Genomic DNA, 25,254 nt, shown 5'->3' on the forward strand with positions numbered 1-25,254 from the left:
CACCCAGGCTCCCCCATACACTAGTAGCCGTTTGAGATGGAGTCATGTCTTTTCTTTTTATGCCAGATTCCCACTACCTATGTGGTCTTCGTTTTTAATTGAAAAACTAATCAATGATGTCTCCAGATAAATTTCCTTGTCCTCTTAAAACCTACCTAATTTTAGTAAATTTGGCAACTTCAGTGAGAAGGATTTAGAGGGGCAAGTGGAAGTCTCCTGCCTTTCAACCTCACACCACAGTGATGTGTTCATAAATTAAGCATCAGGAAAATATTGATGACTATGTCTATCATGTGGCCATCCTTAGCAGAAAGAGAATTATCGTAAATCTCCATCCATGCCTCAGAACTGATAGAGCAATTCAGAGGTGTCAGTTAAGAAATAGCATTGATTGGCTGGGTGCAGTGGCTCACGCCTGTAATCCCAACACTTTGGGAGGCCAAGGCAGGAGGATCACTTGAGGCCAGGAGTTAAATCAGCCAGAGCAACACAGCAAGACCCCATGTCTGCAAAAACTTTAAAAAAAAATTAGCCAGGTACGGTGGCATATGCTTGTAGTCCTAGCTACTCAGAAGGCTGAGGTGGGAGGATTGCTTGAGCACAGGAATTCAAGGCTGCAGTTAGCCATGTTCATGCCACTGCATTCTAGCCTGGTTGACAGAGCAAGACCCTGTCTAAAAAAAAAAAAAAAAAAAAAAAAAATTAAATAGTATTGATCTCTTGTGGGGAGAGGAAAAAAAAACATTTTATGTCTATCTTCATTCTCTGTTGGTTCATTAGGTTAAAAGGGCTGGCTCCTAGCTTGGAAATAATTATCTAAAGAAAGGTCACTTTTTTCTTCTGTCCCTGGGTCGGGGTCCCCAAGACTATTCCTAGTTTTAGTGATTCACTAGGATGATTTACAAGACTCAGAACATAGTCGTACTCACAGATATGATTTAGTAAAATGAAAGGAAACCAAGAAAATCAGCAAAAAGAAAGGCACATACTATGCGAAGTCCAAGGGGAACAAGTTTCCAAGGGTCCTGTCTCAGTGGAGTCACACAGGACATGCTTAATCCACCCCCAGCAACAAGTTGTGACAACATGTGAAATGTTGCCAACCAGGGAAGCTCATTAGAAACTCAACACCCAGGGCTGGGCACAGTGGCTCATGCCTGTAATCCCAGCACTTTAGGAGGCTGAGGCTGACAAATCACCTGAGGTCAGGAGTTCGAGACCAGCCTGGCCAACATGGTGAAACCCCATCTCTACCAAAAATACAAAAATCAGCCAAGCATGGTGGCGGGTGCCTGTAATTTCAGCTACTTGGGAGGCTGAGGCACGAGAATCACTTGAACTCAGGAGGTGGAGGTTGCAGTGAGCCAAGATGGCACCACTGCACTGCAGCCTAGGTGACAGAGTGAGACTCTGTCTCAAAAAAGAAAGAAAAAGAAAAAGAAAACCCTCAGCACTCAGGGTTTTTACTGGGGGCTGGTCACATGGCAGCCTCTGCCTGGGATGTACTAAATTTCTAGACTCCTAGAAGGAAATTAGGTGTTCAGCATGAACAATATTGTTTGCACAGTTTAGGAATAGTGAACCCCTCTTGTTATTCTAGAAACAACAGGAACCCTCCTGAAGTCCAAGTTCCCAGATGCCAGCCAAAGGCCCACCTTGTAAGCAGGCCTTCCAAAGGATAGCAGTCAGACATGCTATGTGAACTCCTTCATGTACAGTCCTTCTGACTTGTCTACCAAATTGACACTCCTCTGTTGTCCAAACTCTTGGCAATTAACAAGCTCCATTTTCCACAATATCTATTTTGAGAAGTTGAGGCCATGTAGCCCACATGGGGCTGCTCTTCCAATCTTCACCTGTCCTTTTCTGCTGGAGCAAAGGATCTGGCCAACACAATTCTATCAAAACTATCATGGGTGAATGCAAGCTGGTCGATAGAATGACTCTGTCAAATCAGTGAGTCAAGGGAAAATTATCATTTTTGGTGATGAGTTTTGAATAACTGGTAGTTTGGGTGTACAACAGATCAGTTTTCCAACCTACATATGCAGCTTGAAGCAGTTTGGTCTATTTCTCAAAATCCTTCCATTTTGGTCTACATTCTTTTGCTTTTAAAATTCTAATTAATTTTCAGTCAGTTATGCCTACTGTATAATGTTTGTGATAAAGAGAATTTGGAACAACGTGACTATCTAATAATAAGTGATAACTTGGAACTGTCACTAAATTAAGACAGCCTAACAAGCCAAACAGGAACAAGCGGCTTAAAAATGAAAAATTCTTAAACTTTAAAAAAAAAAAAAGGTTCCTTTAATTTTTTTGTACTGTTACTCGAGAAGTTGGCAGTCTTCAACCTGCTAGGGGGCCCTCACCGGAGCCCCACCATGCTGGAGCCAAACTTCCAACTTCTAGAACTGTGAAAAATAAATTTCTGCTGTTTATAAAGAACTTAGTCTATGGTACATTGTTATAGCAGCCCGAACTTATTAAAACAATGTACAAATACACATAGGTAGATGAGAGTTATATAATATATATTTTATATTAAAATATGCTATGTTTTATATATATATAAATGTGCTATATTTTATATGTTGCTCTGAAACTTGCTGTGTTTACTTAGTAGTATGTCTGGGACATCTTCATGGATCAATGCCATATCCTTTTTAATGGCTATATTTCTTACCATGTAATGGTCATTCCATAATTTATTGAATCACACTCTTATTGATGGACTGTTTTATGTTTTGCTATTACAGATCTTCCTATGAACATCTTTGTGCAGATGTGCACAAGTGTTAGGATTTTTGAAGGATAGAGTTCTGGAAGCAGAATTTTTAGGTCAAAGGGAATGTCCGTTTTTAAGTCTGAGAGTTTCTCCCCATTTTTCCTCTTATTTTGTTGAGTTTTTAATTTTTGTAAATGGAGGAAAGCCTTAATGGTTTTCCCAGATAATAATCCCACCAAGTTACACACACTAGGCAGCAATCTATGTAGCTCACTGTCTTCCCAAGGGTGTGGAGCTGGCCCAGTGGACTGGAAGCCACACTGCTGCTGTAGATTCCCAGGTGACCCTGGGCTTGGGACTACCATGGCACCTTGATGCCACCATGAGGACTGGCTCTCTGTCTCAACTTCTATGAACATTATCACCTGTGCTACTCCTCTCTGCCTGTCCAGGGACAGGTGCGCAGAGGAGAGCCAGATAGCAGAACCCCTTCTCTGAAGCACCAAATGCCAGGCTCCCAGGCCGTGCATTTGGATAGGAAGGTCCAGGAAAGATAGATGCTATCCAGAAAAACTTAAGCAATTCTCCAGAGCCTAAATGCTGAGCTCTACTCATAACATCAGGCCATGTATGGATGGTCATAATTCTATAACCTTGAGATTGTTTATCTCTATCATGTAGAAAAACATAAAGGAATTCTTAAAGCATGACTTTCCCTATGAGGTTCATCAGGAGCAATTGTACTACTTAGGCTGTAGAGTTAAGGTCTCCACCTATTTCCTCAAATTGTGGTCCACAGACCAGCAGCATTAGCCTTACTAGGGGGTTTGCTGGAAATACAGAATGCCAGACCCACTGAATCAGAATCTGCATGTCAACAGGTTCTCCAGGAGATCCGTATGCACTTTAACATCTGGGAAGCACTGCTTTAGATTTTTCACTTGGAACAGACACTGAATAGTTGTGTGAACTTGGATGAGTTAATCACTCTGTTGCTCATTTGCTGCATCTGCAAGACAGGATGATTACAAGAAGACAATGATGCAGCACATACAAAGAGCTTAGTACAGTGTCTGACAGTAATAAGCATGTAAATAGTTACTACATGTTATTTTTCTTAATTTTCATTCAGCTTCCACTGTGTAGAATGGGCTTTAATCATTTCCAGGCGTCGCATCTAGCCTGGCTGCTGGAGAAACAGTTCAGTTCATAATGATTTTAAAAATTTATAAAAAAGAAAAATCCTTTGACTTAAAGCTCAGGTAATCTCTGGAGCCATAATTTCTGAGAAAATTATTTGGAGCATTATCCAACATCTTTAAATAAAAGTGTTTTATGCAGATAGGAGTTCCAGGGCTTTGATGCAGTTGTGTATCTGTATTGAGGCTCATCACCCCTCTCACCCAGTGATTTTCTGATGAAGCCAAGGCTCTGATCAATTTCAGGAGCTGCTTCTTAAAGTGGAGACTTAAGACTGTATCATTTCTGTGACCCAGAAAGAAACAGCATTTAACTAGGTCACAAGAGAATTCAGTGACAGGTGAAGGGATCTTGGTGTATGAGAAAGCTAGCAGTTTGGATGCTTGTTGTAAATTGTAGGAAGTTGACTTTGAGAGGAATGGGATTTAAATGACCAAAAAGGACAGCAACTTGAAGGACAAAACTGAAATTCAGTGATAAGATTTACTGTGTACGTAATTCACCTAGCACAGAAAAGTCTTAGAATGGGCTCTAAACACAAAGGGACTTTTACATGTCTCAGAATATAATTAATTAAGAATTCAGGATACAAGGTAATTAGAGAAACCATAACCTGGAGGCATACTGCTGAATTATTCTGATCATTTTTAACAATGAGAAAATCTAATTTTCTGGTCATGTGCCATAGATTTTAAATTTAGATAATGTGAAGAGCAATGTTCATACAGTGCAGTCAGCAAATTAAATTATTTATTTTGATTTTGACTTTCCAGCAAAAATCAGGATCAAATGATTAAATCTAAGTCATGAAAATTATTGTGGAACTGAAAAAATACTTGAGAGAAAAATGTAGAAATTGCAATTGAATCTCATGTCATCCTTAACATAAAGCTGCCAGTGTTGCTCCCTTTGTAATAACTGTGCACATGTGTGCGTGTGTGTGTGTAAATCTATTTCACTATCTGATGTTATACACTGGGGCAACGGAAAATGAATGAACTATTTCTGTATATAATGGAGGTGATGTTGAGTTACTGATGAATTACGCCAGCTTCTCCAGACAGGAAGAGGTTGTACATTTTTTTATCTCCAATTAGTGCTCATTGAGTTAAAAATTAAAAACTAAATTCACTTTTTGATGAACCCAATATTCACAGATGTGCTCCAATCTACTGTAATTACTGAATTACCCATTTTTACATTATTTCAGGCATTGCTTATAGAAATATTTCCAAGTATCTTTGTGATGCTTTGTATTAATTAGTTGTCTAGCATGCATTTTCAAGACTGCTAGAATGATTTTACAATCATCTAACCTCATTTTGTATCTGTAAATTCCTATTTTAATTGCACTATCAAGATTTCCCAGTGCCCCACTGAGAGCTTTGGTTTCAGAGAGACCTAGATTTGACTCTCCCTGCTGTGGGTTACATTGTATTCTCCAAAAAAGACATGTTGAGGTCCCAGCCCCCAGTGTCAGTGGATGTGATCTTATTTGGAAAGAGGGTATTTGCAAATGTATTATAGTTAAAAATGAGATCATATTATATTAAGGAGTTCCCAATCCAAAATGACCATTATCATTATAAGAAGAAGGAAGGAGACATAAACACACAGATGGAGATGGGGGCAATGCCATGTGAAGATGGAGACAGAGATCGAACAGATGTGTCTGCAGGACAAGGAATACCAAAGACTCCAGACTCTAGGAGAGAAGCACAGAACAGTTTCTCCCTCAGACCCTCCAGAAGGAACCAACCGTGCTGACATCTTGATTTTGGAATTCTAGCCTCCAGAACTGTGAAAGAATCAATTTACATTGTTTTAAAACCACCCAGTTTGTGGTATTTTGTAATGGCAGCTCTAGAAAATGGATACACCTTCTGGCCAGGTCTGAGACCTTGCAAGAGTTTTTTTTTTTTTTTTTTTTTGAGACAGAGTCTCGCTCTGTCACCCAGGCTGGAGTGCAGTGGCGCTATCTCAGCTCACTGCAAGCTCTGCCTCCCGGGTTCATGCCATTCTCCTGCCTCAGCCTCCTGAGTACCTGGGACTACAGGTGCCCGCCACCATGCCCGGCTAATTTTTTTTTGTATTTTTAGTAGAGACAGGGTTTCACCATGTTAGCCAGGGTGGTCTCGATCTCCTGACCTCGTGATCCACCCGCCTTGGCCTCCCAAATTGCTGGGATTGCAGGCATGAACCACCACGCCCGGCCGCAAGAGTATTTTTAACTTCTCTGGATTTCTGATTTCTTTTTTTTTCTTTCTCTTTTTTTCATTGTTATTGTTGAATTTCTCTTCAGAATACTGAGTTTGACAACCAAAACTATATCTACCTTACAGAATCAGAATGGTGGTTAAATTAGATGAGGTTTATATGAGTGCTTAGCACTGTGCCTGGCACATGCTGTGCTGTGATTCTAGTTTCTCCTCAGTTCAAGAAGCCTGGAGATAAGAAATACAGCCCAATAGTGAGCCAGCTCGGTCAGTCCATTCTGCATCGCTATAAAGGAATACCTGACACTGGGTAATTCGTAAAGAAAAGAGGTTTATTAAGACTCATGGTTCTGCAGGCTATAAAGGAAGCAGGGCACCAGCATCTGCTCCTGATGAGGGCCTCAGGAATCCTACAATCATGGCAAAAGGTAGAGGAGAGTCAATGAGTCACATGGTGAGAGAAGAAGCAAGAGAGAGACGCAGAGGAGCCAGGCTCCTTTAAACAACCAGCTCTCTTGTAAACTAACAGAGTGAGAACTCATTATTATTCCTCACAAGGAATATATTCTATTTTTTATTGTGTATATTTTAAATAATTTTCTTGAGCTTACAAAGTCATCATAACCAAGTTTTAATGATTTGGCTTCTTTATATTTGAAAGCCATGGATAAGTTTATGGAAGTTGAAGCTTTCAAGATGGAGAGCTGAGGGGAAGTGGTGGTAAGGAGAATCCTTAACCTTCTAAAACTGGCATCAAGGAGGACTTCTGTCCCTTTACCTGGGACATCCCTGGATCATTGGCCTGTCCACTGGGGTAGGGGCTTGTGCTCAAGAATGAGAGCCTTTGGAGATGTGGATGCTGCCAAGGGGCCATGGGAGACCTTCAGGCCAGGGCCTAGCACCTTACTGGTCACAAGGAATGGGAACTTCCCAAAACTTCATACTTTGTTCAGAGGCAACTTCCTCGAATTTCTATGAGGGCTTTCTTGAAGCCGCTTTGGTAGGGCCAACACCTTCTCGGGGTTCATGTTTGTTTGGGGTGGCTGAAGGAGATCATGGAGCTCTAGCCCCTCCCCCAACCAAGTCACCCGTTGGCGTGCCCACTAATAACATGCTTAGTCTCAGGGGACACTCAGAAGAACCACTCCTCTCCTCTCCCTGATGTGTCACTACACAACTAAACCCCAAGCTTCTTATATTAGTCAGGGTTCTCCAAAGAAACAGAACCAATGTATATATACATATATATATGTAGAGAGAGGGAGAGAGAGAGAGACGGAGAGAGAGAGAGACAGAGAGAGACAGAGAGAGATTTAGTCTAAGGAATTTGCACAAGTGATTGTGGGGAAGTTTGGTGAGTCCAAAATCCAGTGGGGTAGGCCCACAGGCTGGAGACTCCAGCAAGAGTTGTGATGCAGTCTGTCGGCAGAATTCCTTCTTGCTCAGGGGAGCTCCTCAGTCTTTGTCTTACTAAGGCCTTCATTTGACTGGATGAGACCCACCCATATTATGAAGGATAATTTGCTTTACTCAAAGCCCACCAATTTAAATGTGAGCCTCATCTAAAAACATTTTCACAGAATAATGTTTCACCAAATATCTGCCAAGCTGGTACAAAAAGTTAATCATCACACTCCTCAAAAGCAGGAAACCCCACTCTCCTAGTAGCCTGAGGCTGGGGGGATGATCCATATTCTTTCTATACAGTTGACCCTCGAACAAGGTCGAGTTTAGGGACACACATTTCCTCAAAGTCAAAAATTCACACATGACTTCTGACTCTCCCCAAAATTAATTACTAATAGCCTATTGTTGACCACAAGCCTTACCAATAGCATAAACAGTCTATTAACACATATTTTGTGTACATATATAAAATATATATATACACACATATATATAAATTATAGTGTATTCTTACAATAAACTAGTGAAAAATGTTATTAAGAAAATTATAAGGAAGAGAAAATATACTTACTATTTATTAAGTAGAAGTGGGTCATTATAAAGGTCTTCATCCTCGTTGCCTTCACATTGAGTAGGCTGAGGAGGAAAAGGAAGAGGAGGAGGGGTTGGTCTTGCTGTCTCATGGGTGGAGAGGTGAAAGAAGTAGAGGAGGTGGAAGGGGAGGCAGGTACATTTGGTGTAACTTTTATTGATTAAAATCCACTAAAGATGAACCCAAGCACTTCAAACCCATATTGTTCAAGAGTCAAATGTATTTTTATTTAACTATAAAAGTAATCTATACAAATTTTAAATCAGAAGACAAATAAAGAAGAAAACAAAAGTCTTTGCTATCCCCAACTTACTCCCAAGAGGCACCCCAGATACTGCTTTGATGCATATCCTTCCTGTCATTTTTCTTCTGTATGTGTGAAATTTGTTTTACAAATATGGGATCCAACTGTACACATTATTCTGAAACTTGCCTTTTTAACCTGGTGGGAGTCTCTGGACATCATTCCATTCTTATCACATTCTTTTAGCAGCTGCATAATATCCCACCAGATGAATGCACCCTAATTTATTTAATAGCCCCCACTTATTTATATACATTTTTCATTATTTTCAGTTTGGGACAATCACAAACAATACTGCAATGAATATCATTCAACATATTTTAGCAATCCTATTCCAGTATGTTGTACAATGAAGATCTAATAATAAACTTGTTATATCAATGAGTATAACTATTTTAAATGTTGCTAGATATTGTCAAGTTAATAGGTGCTTAAGAAATGCGTGTTGAATTGATTTGAAAAGACACATAGTTCTAAAGCCACGATAGAAGAGGGGGAAAGGATAGTGACATGGAAAGGGAAGGAAAGAATCCAGAAAGTTGAGAATATTTCGATCCCAATTTGCATCTTGCTCTGCTGATGCTATAGACAGTACATTGTACCTTTCAGGCCTCTGATGGTTGTGCAAAATTACTCCAATTAGGGAAGCTTCATAAAGGCAGAGCTCCATTTTGTCATTAATGTAACTCAATCTCCTAGAACAGAACCTAATACAAAGATGTTAGATAAATATTTGTTAAATAAATAAATGCATGAAAACCAGGAACCTTGGAGGTTAACTTAAAGAGGATATGCAAACTATCTTGCATGTCATATGCACTGAGTGCATCTTCTAATTATAAGGGTATCATGGTACCTACCCTTATACTAGCAGATGCTGAATTGCACCATCAGTATTAGAACAGTGAGTAAATCCCAGCTTGCTGCCTGCAAAGCACGTACCTTCTTCCCACTGCCACATTTGTAGTGCCCTTGGCTAAGAGACTGCATCTGGAAGTAGGATTCAGGCTCCAGGCATAGGCTGAAATTCACACAAGGACAGGGTCAAATAACTGACAGCAGCACAGTTTGGCATAAGCAAGACAAGGGTTCCTGCAAGATTTAAGCCTGGCCTAGGGCTACATTTTTCACCGAGCCTCTGGTTGCTTGCTGTGTGGGGCATGAGGGGAGGGAATATGCATGTTTTCTTCTGCAGAATTTCCTCTTGCAATGTACAGACCGGTTTTCATCATGGCACTGAAAAAGGTGGCAAGAACATGGTGTAGGTTCTGCCACACACCCTGTAACTGTGGCAATTATACCATTTTGGATAATTGCCTTGTAATTGCTGCTGTGAGTTAAAATCTAATGTTATCCTCCAATTGTTCTGATGTCTTTTCATGAATAATGCAATCACCCCGTGAGCCCTCTGCCAGTTTCTCGTTTAGATTGGCCCTGTGTTTGAGTTATGCACCATTATCCTACTCACCATTGTCTCACAAAACAAATGCGGCAGAGACAATACAGGAAATAATTGGGACTTGGCTGATTATGGAAAATGGGAATGTGAGTGAGTAAGATGTGAAGTTTTTCTGTGGAAATATTTCCAAACCCCAGTTGACCCTACAGGTATACAGGATGGAGAGGGGCAGGTTTTTCTTCATGGGTCTTAGTCTGCTGCTGTCTATGTATGCTGGACACACTTGTTCTGGCTGATGCAGTGGGACTTTTCTTAGAACAGAAGGAAAACATATTTTTCCATAGGGCGATTTTCTCAGTTATACTGTTGTCATCATCAAATGTAAACAGCTCTGTAAACATAAGCTGGTGTGTCTCCCTGCAAGGCCAAAATACCAATTGTTCAATGAATGGGCAATGGCAGCTGGGATTTCTGTTTCCAGTGTCTGGAACTTGGTTTAATATGACAAAAAGAAGTCAACTGCGTTCAGAAGAATGGCAATAGAGTCATTTTAAAATTTCAATTTAGCTTCTACCCAGAAAAGGGACAACCTCAGGTGGTAGAGTATTGCTTAGTTATTTCTATGCCAGTGAAACTGATGCCATCATTACTGGGCCTTCTGAGGCCTAATGAAAGTGGACAGAGGTACCCCGGCAGCCAATGGAGCTTTCAGGTCAGGTCTAGTCTTGATGTTCTTTTTGCATAAGGGCCCAAGTTAAGTTTCTGAGAAAGCTCAAAGCCTGCACTTCTCATTTAAAGGAAAGGCACCCACCTGAGCACCCTATGACTCCTCTCTGCCCTCAGCACTAAGCCTAGATGCCATAGCTTGGCATCAAGGGCCTTCAAGAACTTGGCCGGGCACAGTAGCTCACACCTGTAATCCCCTTTGGGAGGCCGAGGTGGGAGAATCACGAGGTCAAGAATTTGAGACCAGCCTGGACCGAGAGACAGAGAAACCCTGTCTCTACCAAAAAAAATACAAAAATTAGCTGGGCACAGTTGCGGGCACCTGTAATCCCAGCTACTCGGGAGGCTAAGGCAGGAGAATCGCTTGAACCTGGGAGGTGGAGGTTGCAGTGAGCCGAGATCATGCCACTGCACTCCAGCCCTGGAGACAAAGTGAGACTTTGTTTCAAAGAACAAACAAACAAGGAACTTGGCCTTCTGTTCATGTTACCAACCTGCAGTCAGAGCCAGCCATACTGGCCTCCCTGCTGAGTCCTGTATGGGCCATTCTACATGTTTTTTTAGAGGTTGACTTTTTTACCTCTAGAATCAGTTTTCTCTGATTCCTCGAGCTTCACTGTGGCCCCTGTTATGTTCTTCCATAGCCTCCTGAAGTTAGCCCTATCACGGCATTTCTAACATCACATTATAATTTTCAGAATACTTATTTGTCTTCTTTGCCAGACAGTGAGACCTAGGTGGGCAAGACAGTGTTCAACGCAGCTCAACCACAGTTTTCATCAATGAAATCTGGTAAAAGAGGAAGTGAATGAATGAATGGATAGGTGACACCCCATCCTCCTTGCTTTAGTTGGGTGGAGTAAGCCGGGTGCCCGCTGTGAGTCTGAAGGATCAGGAGCCATAAGTGCTAGCCTGGGGTGCCAAGTGGCTGGTGCTGGTGAGGTCTGTGTGTCTTCCCAGGGCAAGGTCCCTTCCCACAGGCATAGACCACCCCAGGGAGTCAGGTGTGAGCTGCACAGCCTCCCAAACTGGCTTGAGGAGATGGGTTTAGAGTCAGCCAGAAAGAAACTTTGTTCGAGCTCTGGAGTCTGACAGGGACAAACAAAAATCTGATTGCCAGAGCATTTTCTCTTGGGTCTGAGATAATTCAGGTAAGCTCTGCAGCCAGGGGCTGCCGGGAAGAGAGGAAACTATAGGGCGCAGCAGGCTGTCACCAGAGAAGGTGATGGGAGGAGAGCCAGGGAGCTCCCCCACTGCTGACCCATGACTGGCAGGAAAGCTCATGCCAGGAAAGTAAATCTGGGCTTCTGGGAAGTGGGCTGGCTATGTTGGGGGCAGCATGACCTCTCAGAGAAGAGTGCATCCAAGGACTTCGAATGCAGTGTCCCCATGAGATATGTGGTCTGCAAGATAGTTTTATTCTAGACCATAGGGGTGGTTGTTTAACATTTGAAGCACCATAATTGGGAACACACACTCTAGAGGTGGTTATGTAGCATGTGACAGAGTAATCAGAAGCCCCCACTCCAGGAGCTTTATTACCGCAAGCCTCAGACAAGCTCAACCTTATTTATCTCCAGTCAGCACCAGATGGTTTGTTGTTTGTCATATTGGATATTAGAAAAGATTTTGTGTTGGTGAAATGAGCGGAGTTCAAGACCTGTAGATTAACTAGAACTATTGTACAGGTGTCTCTGTGGATAAACAGGTGAGCCCAGTAGCCCTGACCCTTTGAACTGGCAGCCAAGACCTAAGGACTCCATCCTGCTGAGAGCCATTTCCAGAGGATTGTCCCCACCCGAAGGCCAGCTGAAGCCTGCTGCCAGGATCCGGTCACACCTGCATGCAAAATGCTCATCAGAGACTGAAAGGGTAGGATGCCGAGACTTCAAACCACACAACAGACATGTGATTGTTTTGTACCTGCTAATTCAGTCTGAGACGTGTTTCATTGTGCTACCTGGTGGCAGGGGTGGGGTGAGGAGGATCTAGCAAGCGATGGCCTCCAATATCTGTCAGAAAAGAACCTAATAATTGTAACTGGCCAATATGGCTTGTATCCATTTCCCACATTACAAAGAGGCCCTGGACCAGCAGGCACTGGAGTTGTGGCCTAAGATGACTACAAAGTTTTTTCTCAGATAAAAAGTCAGAACTCTTACGTCCTAGTGTACATTGCTGTAGCTACAGTTTGGTACAAAACTTTGGCCAGTTCTGCGGCGCTATGCTTGCAGTGCTGCACAGAAGTGTTCTTGGAGTTTCTAATGAGATGACATTCCCCACTTACCAGTATTTTCTGTTATGTTCATTCTACTAGGTGTTTTGAGGCTCCCCCTTCTTCCTGAGCAGTGAGAAATGACAGAGTAGAGAATATGACACTTGGGCTAGGTATAGTGTCTCATGCTTGTAATCCCAGCACTTTGGGAGGCTGAGGCGGGAGAATCCCTTGAATCCAGGAGTTCAAGACCAGCCCCTGGGCAACAAAATGAGACCCCCTATCGATAAATAAAAAAGTAATTAAATTAAAATAATGTTAAAAATAATATGGCACTTGGAGGATTAACCCTGATAGTTTTAGTTTTCTTTTTAAATTAAATTGTTATGATATCCTTAAGAAACAAGCACTAAAACCATGATTATTCTTGAGAACTAAGAGTAAATTGACATTCAGTCATTCACTTGCTTTAGCACATATATAGTGACATTCATTCCCTACTGAGCAAATGTTCATTGAGTACATATTAGAGACCCAGACACTGATAGGTTATATGTTTAGCTCCCCAGTCATTTTTAGCAAAGCTGTAGTTGTGATTTGTAGAAGACAAAATAAAGTGTTCTGGACAAAAAAGACTGTATTGAACAGGCCCGGGAAGGAAGTGAGGAATACAACAGGTGAGCATTCTGCATTCTGTCCCTGCACAGCTCCTGCACCTGCCTGGCTCTCCCGTGCAGGCTGAATGGCCTTTGATGACATTGACAGGCTTGAGGTGTTCCAAAGCTTGGTCCAGCTCCCATTAGGCACTGATTCATGCTGATAACAGCTGGAATTTTGACAGGCTTCCCAGCACTGAAGACAGGTGAGCTTCTTAATGCCTGGCCTAGTGACAGCTCTGATATGTCATCCTGCTATTATTTCCAGGTTTGTGCTGGGTCTCAGGTTTCCCAAGAGATTTGCACTTGAGAGGGAAGCAACATGACAGACAGGAACAGGTAAGGTTATAGTTATTGATCAGTGAGAGAAATAGCCCACTGCACTCCTAGTCTAACCCTGGGACACCAGAATCTCAGGAATGGGCAGGAAATGATGGCATTCCCAATCTGACCCAGAAAGGACTCCAACAGTCCTCCTGGGAATAAAACCATTTTCATAGTCAGCATTCTCAATGTTTGAAGCTTAATTGTTTTCCCAATCATAAAACAGATCACAATCATGCAGTTGATTAATTTCCCTTTCCAGGTGGAACAGAATCTATGTGCACATCCTAGCACCTCCTAGCAGATGCTTAGGAACAAAAGATACTCTTTCCATGTAGAATTGCTCCCCTGATTATGTCATCCCTTTATTCCAGACCATTTCTAACCACCCCAGCATCTCTAATAACAGGCAATGCATCCCCACATCTCATCGGGCAAACTCCATTCTTCTAATTCCTCAGGCCAAAGACCTGGATGTCACTCTGGACTTCCCTTCCTCATACCCCACATCCAATCTTTAGAGATTTCTGTCAGCTCCACCTAAAAAATATATTCAGAACCACCTCTCACCATTTAACTCCATGACTACTCCTCTGGTCCAAGTCATCATCTTGCTTGGATTATTGTTGTAGACTCCATTTGTCTCCATAATTTCCATTCTTCATGGTCTGCTCCCCATCTCTACTATTTTCTTTGCTTATTTTCTTCATGCACTATCACCTGATATTTGCCTTCTGTCTCCACCCACTCAATAAGTACATGGGATCAGAACAGCATCTGGTGCATGGTAAGTGCCAATATTTGATGGACGAATGGGTTAAGAACACATTGCTGGCAGACCCTGGGTCCTGTCTCCCAGGATATGCTGAATGAGCACATAATTTAGCTTAGTAAGCTCCATGAAAAGTTATCCTGTTGCACCCATTAATTGACAACAACAAGATCAAAGATTGTAAGAACTGCAACTGTTCATTCCTTACCCTCTAGGCATATTAACCTAACTTAAATTTAACATGTTGGGCACCAGCTTCTGAGCCCAAGTTCTAAATGAGCTAGTTAGAGTCTCCACCTCACTGCATTAGCTGAATAACCTTCAGCACTGAATGATGGTTATACCAAAAATCATACAATAGAGTTGGACCAATCTATTGGCACTAAGATCCTACCCCAGTGTTGTTATGAGTATGCTTTTCACACCTCAAAACCATCCACCTACTTTATAGGGAGGAGACACCACAGAGGGAACGAAATGGGAGAGAGGTTGGAATGATACCCTGGGTATGAGAATAAGGTAGACAACCCTGAATTGTTTTATGACCCTGGGAAGCCTATGGGCTTTAAATAATAATTATCCTGCCTAGAAGTTCTCCATCTACCCATGCTTTCTTCTTTGAAAGAAACCAGGGCAGCTAGTCAAGTTTTATCCACTTTATTTAGGAAATACATACATTCATTGAATGTTTAGTTATTGGGGGGGAAGGAGGAGCTGAGGACACTGCAGAGAGGAGGGTGGGCTTCATTTCTTGCTGGCTTTTGCTGCAAACTTGGTGACCTTGCCAGCAGTGGAGGACTTCTTGGGGATTCAATTAAGGATCAATTCCAGAATCCCTAACAGAGTAGTCTACCCTCAGCCCCACTCAGGCCTGGGTCACCTCCCATCTTGCACACATCTTGTAGGGGCAGCCTCCTACCACCGCTCCTGCATTGCCTCTTCCCACTTCGGTGCCTAGCTCAGAGCCAGGGACATGAAAGGTTAAACTGAAAAGTAAAACTGATTTGCCCAGGCTCACATCTCCTGGACTAATTCCTTGGCTATATCGGGTACTTCCAAGCAGTCCTGACCCTGACCTTTCTCCTGCATTGGCCATCCCCTGACCACTGGGAGCTTAGACAGCCCCTGTTCATCCAATCAACTTCTATCCCCCCACCTCTGACCCATTTCTAGTACAAGAGATCCTGACCCTCTGTAGTCTGCAGCTTGCTCCTTTAAGTCCTACTTCTAAAAAAGAAGCAGCAGAACTGATCCAGAGATCAACAAGAACCACAACAACTGTCAACAGAGTGAACTCTTTGCCTCCTGCTTTTATGAGCCCAGCCCTACCTGCACTGCCCCTCCTTCTGGTTCTCACCAAATCTGAAATGAGAACCTGTTCAGCTTAAAAAATGCCACTCCTTACCCTTAGGCCCAATGTCAGAGACTTCTTCCTTGACTGGGTGATTGGATAAAGGGAGGGTGGGTGAGGCTGAATATACTTTTTTTGCCCAAATCTTGCAGAATTAAGCAGAACCCCCTTTTTTTTTTTTTTTTTTTTTTTTTTTTACTTTTTTGATACAGTGTTTCACTCTGTCACCCAGAATGGAGTGCAGTCATGTGATCTTGGCACACTGCAACCTCTGCTTCCCAGGCTCAAGTGATTCTCCCACTTCAGCCCCCTCAGGTGCACACTACTGTGCCTGGCTAATTTTTCTTTTCTCTATTTTTAATTTTTTGTAGAGATGGGTTAAATCATATTGCCCAGGCTGGCCTTCTTTTCCTAAGTTCAAGTGATCCTCCTGCTTCAGGCTCCCAAAGTGCTGAGATTACAGGCGTGAGCAACTGTGCCCAGCCCACTGTAATTTTATGGGGACCAAACTTCTGGACATGTGGAGACGGGAAGGAAAAGGATCTGAAAATAAGATAAAAAACATAAATTAATTATTCAGTAAGAGGGAATAGAAGAAGACAGGCCTGGAATAATCTAGTCTCACCACCTGGCTGTCTTGACCAGCAGTTATTCTAGTAAACCTACTGCCATGAGCAAAGAGAAGGCCTTTATCAATATCATCATCATTGGCCATGTGGACTCTGGCAAGTCCACCACCACTGGGCCTCTCACAAATGTGAGGGCATTGACAAGAGAATCATTGAGAAGTTTGAAAAGGAGCCGGCAGAGGTAAGGCTCCCTCTGTGTCTGGAAGTGTGTGGAGGGGAAGCCTCTTTCTTGTGGGTAGTTCTAGCTACAGAGTACAGAAAACCATGCACTCTGCAAGCCTAAAATGCTGCTGTTTGAGGTAGATTTATCTGCTGTCCATCAGTGCATTTATTCTCCCACCCCTTCCCAGGTGGGCGAGGGCTCCTTCAAGTATGCCTGGGTGTTGGACAAGCTGAGGGCAGAAAGAGAACGCAGGATCACCATTGATATCTCCCTGTGGAAGTTCAAGACTAGCACATACTACAGCATTATCATCGATGCTCCAGGCCACAGAGACTTCATCATGACCATGATCAGGGGCACTTCCCAGGTAAAGCAGTCCATGCCTTCAGAAACATTCCTATAGAGGGGGAAACTCAAGATTTATTTCTGAAGCTTGGAGAAGGAAGGTATCATAAGGCTTGTAAGCCTTTTCCTCACCTATGGCCATCATCCATCAATCCTGAAAGAATTAGGGAGGACAGGACTGAAAGTCCCATCACTCTCATGAAGCTCAGATCCTGTTGTCCTGGGGGGGCCTAGAGGGACCAGGTTTTCTTACACTCAGACTAGTAGATCAGTTGGTCCAGAAAGAAGGGACTAAAAGCTGATTTAGATGAGATTAAATGAGAGGAACTGGGAAGCAGGACCCCCATGCACCGCATCTAGGGTGGTCCATGAATCCCATTTGGCCATCTGAGTTCTGGAGGGCATTCCCCAGCTTTACAATGGGATTCGGAACCTCCCAAAGTCAGTCCGATGCCCCCTCCCGCAACCCGGTGTGTTTGTGTATCCCCGCGGTGCAGGCCGACTGCGCGGTGCTCTTCGTGGCAGGCGGCTGGGCGGAGGCCGGCATCTTCAAGAACCCGCAGACCCACGAGCTCGCGCTGCTGGCCAACTGGCGGGACGTCACGCAGCTCATCGTGATCTTCAACGAAATTGACTCCACCGAGCCCGCCTACAGCGGCTCGCGCCTCCAGGTGATCACCAAGGAAGTAAGCGCCTGCATCAAGAAGATCGGCTACAACTGGCTGCCTGGCCTTCAGTCCATCTCGAGCTGGCACGGCGACAGCATGCTGGAGCCCAGCACTGACGCGAGTGTGGCGCGGGTCGGCAGGGACAGCCGGGGTGGAGGCGAGCGGACCACACCCCGGACTCACCTCCCCTCGACATCCCGAAGATGCCCTGGTTCAAGTGCTGGAAGGTAGAGTGGAAGGAGGGGAACGCCATGGGGGTGACTCTGCTGGAAGCTTTGAACTCCATCCTCCCAACAACGCGCAGGGTCGACAATCCCCTGAGGCTGCCCCTGCAAGATGTGTACAAGATGGGAGGTGACCCAGGCCTGAGTGGAGCTGAGGGTAGACTACTCTGTTAGGGATTCTGGAGTTGATCCTTAATTGAATCCCCGAGGGAGTCCACAGGTGTATGATTGCCAGGGTTCAAATCCTGACTCCACCTCTTCCCTGAGCAAGGATAAAGTGGAAAAGCACCTAGCATTTCCAAGCTATCCACTACACAGTTTTAAACAGTCAGAGATCCATCTAGTGCTTTCTACCAATTCCACAGGTGGTCCTTTGTCCTTGAACTCAAAAGCCAAGGGGCCTCCCAGGAAGCCAGTTCTCACTGGGTGTGTCTGGGACTGACTTCCCTTCCTGGGTTGAACAGGCATTGGCAGTGTGCCAGTGGGCCGTGTGGAGGGTGGCTTTTTCAAATTCGGGATAGTGGTCACATTTGCCCCCAGCAATGTCACCACTAAGGTTAAATCTGTGGAGATGCACCATGAGGTCCTGGCGGAAGCCCTGTGGTTAACAATGTAGGATTCCATGTGAAGAATGCAACCACTGCTTGGCTCTGCCCTGGGAACTGTGGATGCAAATATGAGTGACACAGCGCCTGTCTTTGAGGGGGCTCCCACTCTGGTAGGGGAAACAGATGACTACAAAGGAGCTATTTCCGTGTAATGAACGAGGGCTGCAAAGGGGGCACACTGGGGAGATTCCCATGTGTATGGGGAGGTGAGGACACCTTCAGAGAGGAGAAGCTGTATCTGGTCTTCAAGATGAGACAGCACCTCAGGGCCCACATGGGAGGAGGTGCTTGCCAGGCAGAAGAATCGGAGGTGGAGTCCTGTGCTCTTTTTGCCTGGAGGGCAGGAAATGGTGGGAGAAAGTATTGGCTAAAGAGGTGAGGGGAAAAGGGAGGATCATAATGCATGAACTCCTCAGGTTTAATTTTCCTACACTGTAAATCTAATTATATAATCCCTTTGCTTAAATTTTCTGATTACTCTTTTTATTTATTTATTCATTTATTTGGAGATAGGGTCTCGCTTTGTTGCCAAAATGCAGTGGCATGATCATAGCTCACTGTAGCCTTGGCCTCCCAAATCGCTAGGATTATAGGCATGAGCCACCTCTCCAGGCCTCTTGATTACTAGTACTGCCCACAGGGGTAAATTGTAATCTCTTGGCTGTATGGTAAGGAGCTCAGTGGCAACTGAGACTGGAGGCAGGGATCCCTTTAGGGGCCCATGCAGGAGTCCTGGAGGGAGGTGATGGAGCCTGAGCCAGGCAGAACAGTTGAGTGCATTGGACATATTTAGAAAGGGCGATGGGAAGAGAGGGAGGCAAGGCCACGGTGCTAACTAGAGCACATAGCCATGAGGATGGGGAACACTCCTCTGTCAAGATATTCTCCCTTCTCCCAAAGCCAGGCTTGAGCCCCTCCCTGCAGCTCCCAGAAGACTTCGTTGTTCAAATCTAGGTTCCTTCCTTATTCTGCAGCCTATCTGCATGGTAGAAATTAGCTGGTCACTGTCCTCTCTGGGACTAAAATTCCCCAGTTTTACCATGACATTATACAGTAATCCCCATTTATCTGAGATTTTGTTTTCTCTGATTTCAGTTACCTGCAGCATAATACAATAGGATATTTTGAAAGAGACAGAGAGAACATATTTATATAACTTTTATTATAGCATATTGTTTAAATTGTTCTATTTTGTTAATTGTTGTTATTAATATTACTGTACCTAATTTATAAATTAAACTCTATCATAGGTACATATGTAGAGAACAATACAGTACATATAATGCATAGGGTTGGTAACTGTGCCATCCAAGGTTTCAGACATCCACTGGAGGTCTTGGACATATCCCCCACGTATAAGGGGGAACTACTGGAATACCATGCAGAGTTTCAGCCCCTGAAACAGCAGAAAGGCAAATTAAATACAGTATATAAGACAAGTTCACTTTCAAGTCAGATAGACCTAGGTCTAAATCTTGCTTTCTCTACTTACTAACTGTGTGAACTTAGTAACTCTGAACTTCCTCTGCAAACTAGGAATGAAACTGACTTCCTGCTTAGCATAAGAATTAGATGAGGTCATGCAGGCACAGGGCTTAGCACATGGTAATGATCAATAACTGGTATCTACTATTGTAGATACTACTATTTTCTCTACTGTCTTGTATTGCTGGATTGCACTCACTGGGACGTAAAGTACTCACACATAGACAAAATGATTTGCTCAAGGTTATAGAATAAGTTAATGAAGAAATAATATGATACCTCTCAGTACATAGGTTTCCAGCCTTCTGAGCCAGGCTGTCTCCTCATTAAGAATTATTATTATACTTATTCTATTTAAGTTATAGTATGTAGTATCTCTGTGGTGTTGGCTGACTCAGAACTGAAGGAATAATCAGAATTAGAGGTTTCCTGACATTGAAATAAGCTAAAGGGTAACTGTTCCCGATAGAATGACATTCTCTGTCTAGTGCAATTGGCTGTTGCTAGGGAAATATCCCCATTATTTACAAATTTGAAGGGTCAATTCTTTATCATTTTATTAGAAATAATATTCACAATTCATAAATGTAAAGTCATCAGAGTTTCTGGAATGGGATGGTTAAGAGTTAGAAATGAATCTATAGTGACTGTAATGCAGGCTTCAGATGGTTACGATGAAATAAAATCATTTGGAATGAAAAGCACAATGCACTGAGGAGTCACCGAGATAAAACAAGTTACATGATTAAGATGTGCTCATTGGGAAACTGCATAAATACAAGAAAAGGTCATTTTCCAGTGAAAACCAAGGAGGGAGGGTTAATTCCTAAATGACTAGATGATGTAGCCACTATTGGCATAGGGACTAAACACACCTATTAATTAATTTATCGATCTGGAGAACTACTAACCAAAGCCCTTTGTCAGTTATAGTTAGTGAGCAGCAGTGTAGCTACTGGATTCCTCGCATTATCCAAGTTTCTAGACACAGAGAACCCATTGCAGACATAGATTGAGTCTGCATAATAGCACCAGTGTATTTTAGAAATAGCAAAACATAACAAAGTGAAGATGGTGATGGGGAATTTTAAAGGTGAAGTTTTAACACAATATTAAGAAGAGCCACAGCCCTTTGTTAGGACAAGCACAAAAATTTGTTTTTGTTAAGCTATGCAAATAGAACTAATTTACACAAAGTGATGAAATTACTGCATGGTACACATGACTTTTGTGTCCTTGGTAGGGATAAAATCTTTCCATTTGGGGAAAGTTTGGATTCTGGTTGTCTCCTGGGAGGGAAGTGATGGAGGTGGATATGTGGAGGGCCTTTTCTCTGATTCCTCTACTAACCAGGTGTCACCTATCCAATTTGGAAAATAGAATGTTTACAGTTAAAGAATTATTTGACTTAGTTTGCTCCAGTTTCAAGTGTGGGAACATGCAGGGACAGGCAATTTTCCCAGAATCTGCTGCCTGAATAAGGAGATACTCAGTTTGCAGACCTGCAGAAATAAGAAATCAAGTCCTAAGTAGGAAGGAGATGTTTCCTTGCAACAAATACTTATGAAGCATCTTTCATGTGGCAGTCTTGGAGCACAAAAACAGACCATAATATCTGCCCTCCCTGAGTAAATAGCCTATGGGGGAAAATAAGGGCAGATTCACCCGCACCGCACCTCAGAAGCTAGTCATAGCATTGGAGGAGACAAAGGACTTAATAATTTGGTGATTTTATAGTAATGATTTTCTGCTCAAATAACTCTTGCTTGGGGAATGGAGGCAGAGAGAGCCTTTTCGTTTATGTTCCACAGCTTGACAACCTTCAGGAGCCATGGCAGTGTGGGGAGTTCTGGTAAAGCCCTTTTAGAATGGAAAGCTTTTCTTCTGAGCCATCCAAGTATCATTCATCAGCAAATATTTCCTGAGCACTTTCTCTGTGTTACTGAATCTCCACCCCAATGCTATAGACGGGCGTTTTCCCCTGAGCTCCATTTTGCAGATGGGTTGGAGAAGTAAAATGTAGGCAATGGAGGTGGAATTTTAATTTTAAATTTTAAAGCAAGAAATTTAACAAGATGTGTTTTTTTCTAAACCCCTTCTAAAGACAACATTCTTACTCCAGCCTAGACATGCTGCCTCTTTAGAAGTCCCCTAGGCATCATTCTAGTAAAGCATCTTCATCTTAGATGTGGAAACTGAGACCCAGGCAAGTCAGATTATGTCTGATTTGAGTCCAAAAATATTTATATGCCAAGAACAATGCCAAAAGAATCCCTGCCAAGCCAGCTGGGTTGCACACTCACACCCACATACAGTAGGCTATTATAACCCAGAGGTCTGCACACACGTGGTGAGAGCACAGGCCCACAACAGATCCTAAAGATTGATTTGACCAAGTGCCCTCTACTAAGCAGTCATCCAATGAAGGAAGCCCCCAGTAATATTTACATAATCATTTTTCTCCTCTAATGCTTTGGAGGCAACATCTTTTCTGCCAGGACTGCAGAGTTAATTTTAAGGGTCCTAATCTCCACTCACTTTGGATCACGAGCCAGATAGGGATATAAATCTAAAAATAATTGGATTCTGAACCTCAGCCCAGAGCCAGGACAAGGCAGCAGATGGAGACTGAGAGTGTAAAGGCTGCCCCTCTCTCAATGCCAGGGTTTGTTCAAGGAAGTGTCTGAAGGAAGAACCAGGACTCCTTTCCTCTGGTTTGAAGAGAAGGAGAATAAAGAAGCAGGATGAGGAGGTGGTGAGGATGATAAAGGCACAGTTAAAGTTGAATGTCCCAGGGCTTTTTTTGGGTGAGGGAGGAGTCTGATAAGTCAGTGGAGAATGTCATCAAAGAACTTTCTATTCATTAATTCATTCATGGAGCAATGGGAAAAATATACGCAGATGTTCCTTGACTAACCATGGTGTTACATCCCAATAAACCTATTGTAAGTTGAAATATCATAAGTGGAAAGTGCATTTAATATACTTAACTTATCTAACTTCATAGCTTACCTAGTCTGCCTCAAACATGCCCAGGACACTTACATTAGCCTATAGATGGGCAAAATCATGTAACACTGATATGGTTTGGCTGTGTCCCAACTCAAGTTTTATCTTGAATTGTAGTTCCCATAATCCCCATGTGTAATGGGAGGGACCAGGTGGAGATAATTGAATCATGGGGGTGGTTTCCCCATCCTGTTCTCATGATAGTGTGTTAGTTCTCATGAGATCTGATGGTTTTATAGGGGCTTCCCCCTTCCCTGGGCACTCATTCTTCTCTTTTCTGCCACCTTGTGAATAAAGACATGTTTGCTCCCCTTCTGCCATGATTGTAAGTTTTCTGAGTACTCCGAAGCCCTGAGGAACTGTGAGTCAATTAAACCTCTTTCTTTTATAAATTATGCAGTCTTGGGTATGTCCTGATAGCAGCATGAGAATGGACTAATACAAACACAAAGCCTATTTTATAATAAAGTGTTGAATATTTCATGTGATTTATTGAATATTGTACTAGAAGTGAAAAACAGAATTGTTGTATGGGTACTTGAATTAGGTTTCTACTGAATGCATGGGACTTTTGGAACATCATAAAGTTGAGTCATCTTAAGTTGAGGACCATCTGTATTTCCAGTTTTAATTTTTTTAGTTGCAAAGTCTGTAATGTAGAGGAAATCATATTATAGATATATCCCATATTTGTAAGCACCCTTCCCTCCCTCATTTCTAGAAATCTGAGTTCAGGTTCTATCTCCTGTTTATTTTGTGTGACTTTGAATAAGCCATTGATACCGTAACTTTTAAGCTCTTCACCTGTAGGACTGATAACCACTCCTGCCTTGCTCCTGTACCAGTCTTTAGAACAATCAATAATGGGTTGGAAATAAAACCACAGACTCCGTGAGGAAACCACAGAGCAACTACACTCAAAGTGAGTAGAGGTTGGGAGCCCTAAATTTCACTCTGCAGTGATGGTGAATATAGATGTTACTTCCAGAGCACTGGAGGAGAAAAGAGATTATGTAAATATTACCAGGGACTAACTTTGTTGCATTGATGCTGAAAGATCATGACTGACTCATTGATTGCTGTTTCCAAGGTGCCATTCACAGTGCTTTGCAAAGAGTAGACCAATTCTATTGGTGAAGGATAGAATGAAATGCTCAGATATCTATGGAGTGTTCATTTATTAGTATTTAAAACACCTTGTACATTTGAACTCACATTGTTAGCCTGTGAACACATACATGCTTTGTGACTATCTTGTCAGACACAGAAAAAAATCAAAGGGTAAAACAGGAGATGCTTCTAACGTAAGTGCACACTCCCTCTTCCCTCCCCAGACACACATCTGTCCTAATCCAGATGTTAATGATTCAGAGTTGACTACATCAATCAGGTGAGCAACTAAAATATTATCCTGAGAAATGTCAGATTCTATTGCATTGTCTTTGCAATTTAACTGTTATTTACCATTTATGAATAACATATACACTTGCAAATTATTTCACAATCATTTTTATAGCTGCTCTGTGAGAGATAATTAAAGCAAAACCACTTTAAATGAAGCTGCTCAAAGGGACAAAGTTGTTGTGCCAATAATGTGCTATATAAATGCAAATTATCAGGATTCATATTATAGTGAAAACTGCTGGTATCATTTTTCATGAGACCAACATGTAAATATTATAATACTCCTCTGATTTATAGAGCACTTTTCTTCCTAAAAGATAAACATGCCTAGCCATGTATTATTTAACAGATATTTCCAACTCTGAGGGATGAGTAAAACCATTCATTCACTAATCCTTTCACTAAGATACTACAACAATGCACAACTTAAAATAGGTACTCAATGTTTGACAGCTGAATGAATGAGGTGGCATTTAACACAGCACATACACATCAGTAGCCTTCGTGCAGAGAATGAGGGGTGTGGTGGAGCAGGGTATGGTCAATAGAAATGGTGGAAACATTTAGGGAAGTACTGAGGAATTCAAAAGACTCAACCAAAGTAGAAGGGAAAGAATGGAAGCAACAAGGGATAAGGTTGGACAGGTGAACTGAGGCTATCATCAGTATGTGGAAGACATCTAGTTTTCTACCTCTCAGAAAATAAAACTGTGAAAAAGAAGAAATGATGGGAAAATTTACTTGTAATTGGTGAGGTTAATGTTCTGGAGAAATAACCCCAACGGAGCCATAATCTGTACATTTTAAGTGCCTGAGAAGCCAATAAAAA

The 25,254-nt window shown here is 42.6% G+C and overlaps 1 long non-coding RNA gene and 1 pseudogene across 1 annotated transcript; one reads left to right on the forward strand and one right to left on the reverse strand.

The window, feature by feature from the left end:
- Positions 15,196 to 17,586, reverse strand: LINC02746 (long intergenic non-protein coding RNA 2746). The gene is made up of 3 exons (NR_135091.1): positions 17,160 to 17,586; positions 16,981 to 17,079; positions 15,196 to 16,433 (listed from the first exon to the last, which is right to left on the reverse strand). It is a non-coding gene; the product is annotated as a long intergenic non-protein coding RNA 2746 (long non-coding RNA).
- Positions 16,561 to 18,561, forward strand: EEF1A1P49 (eukaryotic translation elongation factor 1 alpha 1 pseudogene 49; annotated as a pseudogene).

Source organism: Homo sapiens, chromosome 11, assembly GCF_000001405.40.
Source record: "Homo sapiens chromosome 11, GRCh38.p14 Primary Assembly".
Classification (NCBI taxonomy): Eukaryota; Metazoa; Chordata; class Mammalia; order Primates; family Hominidae; genus Homo; species Homo sapiens.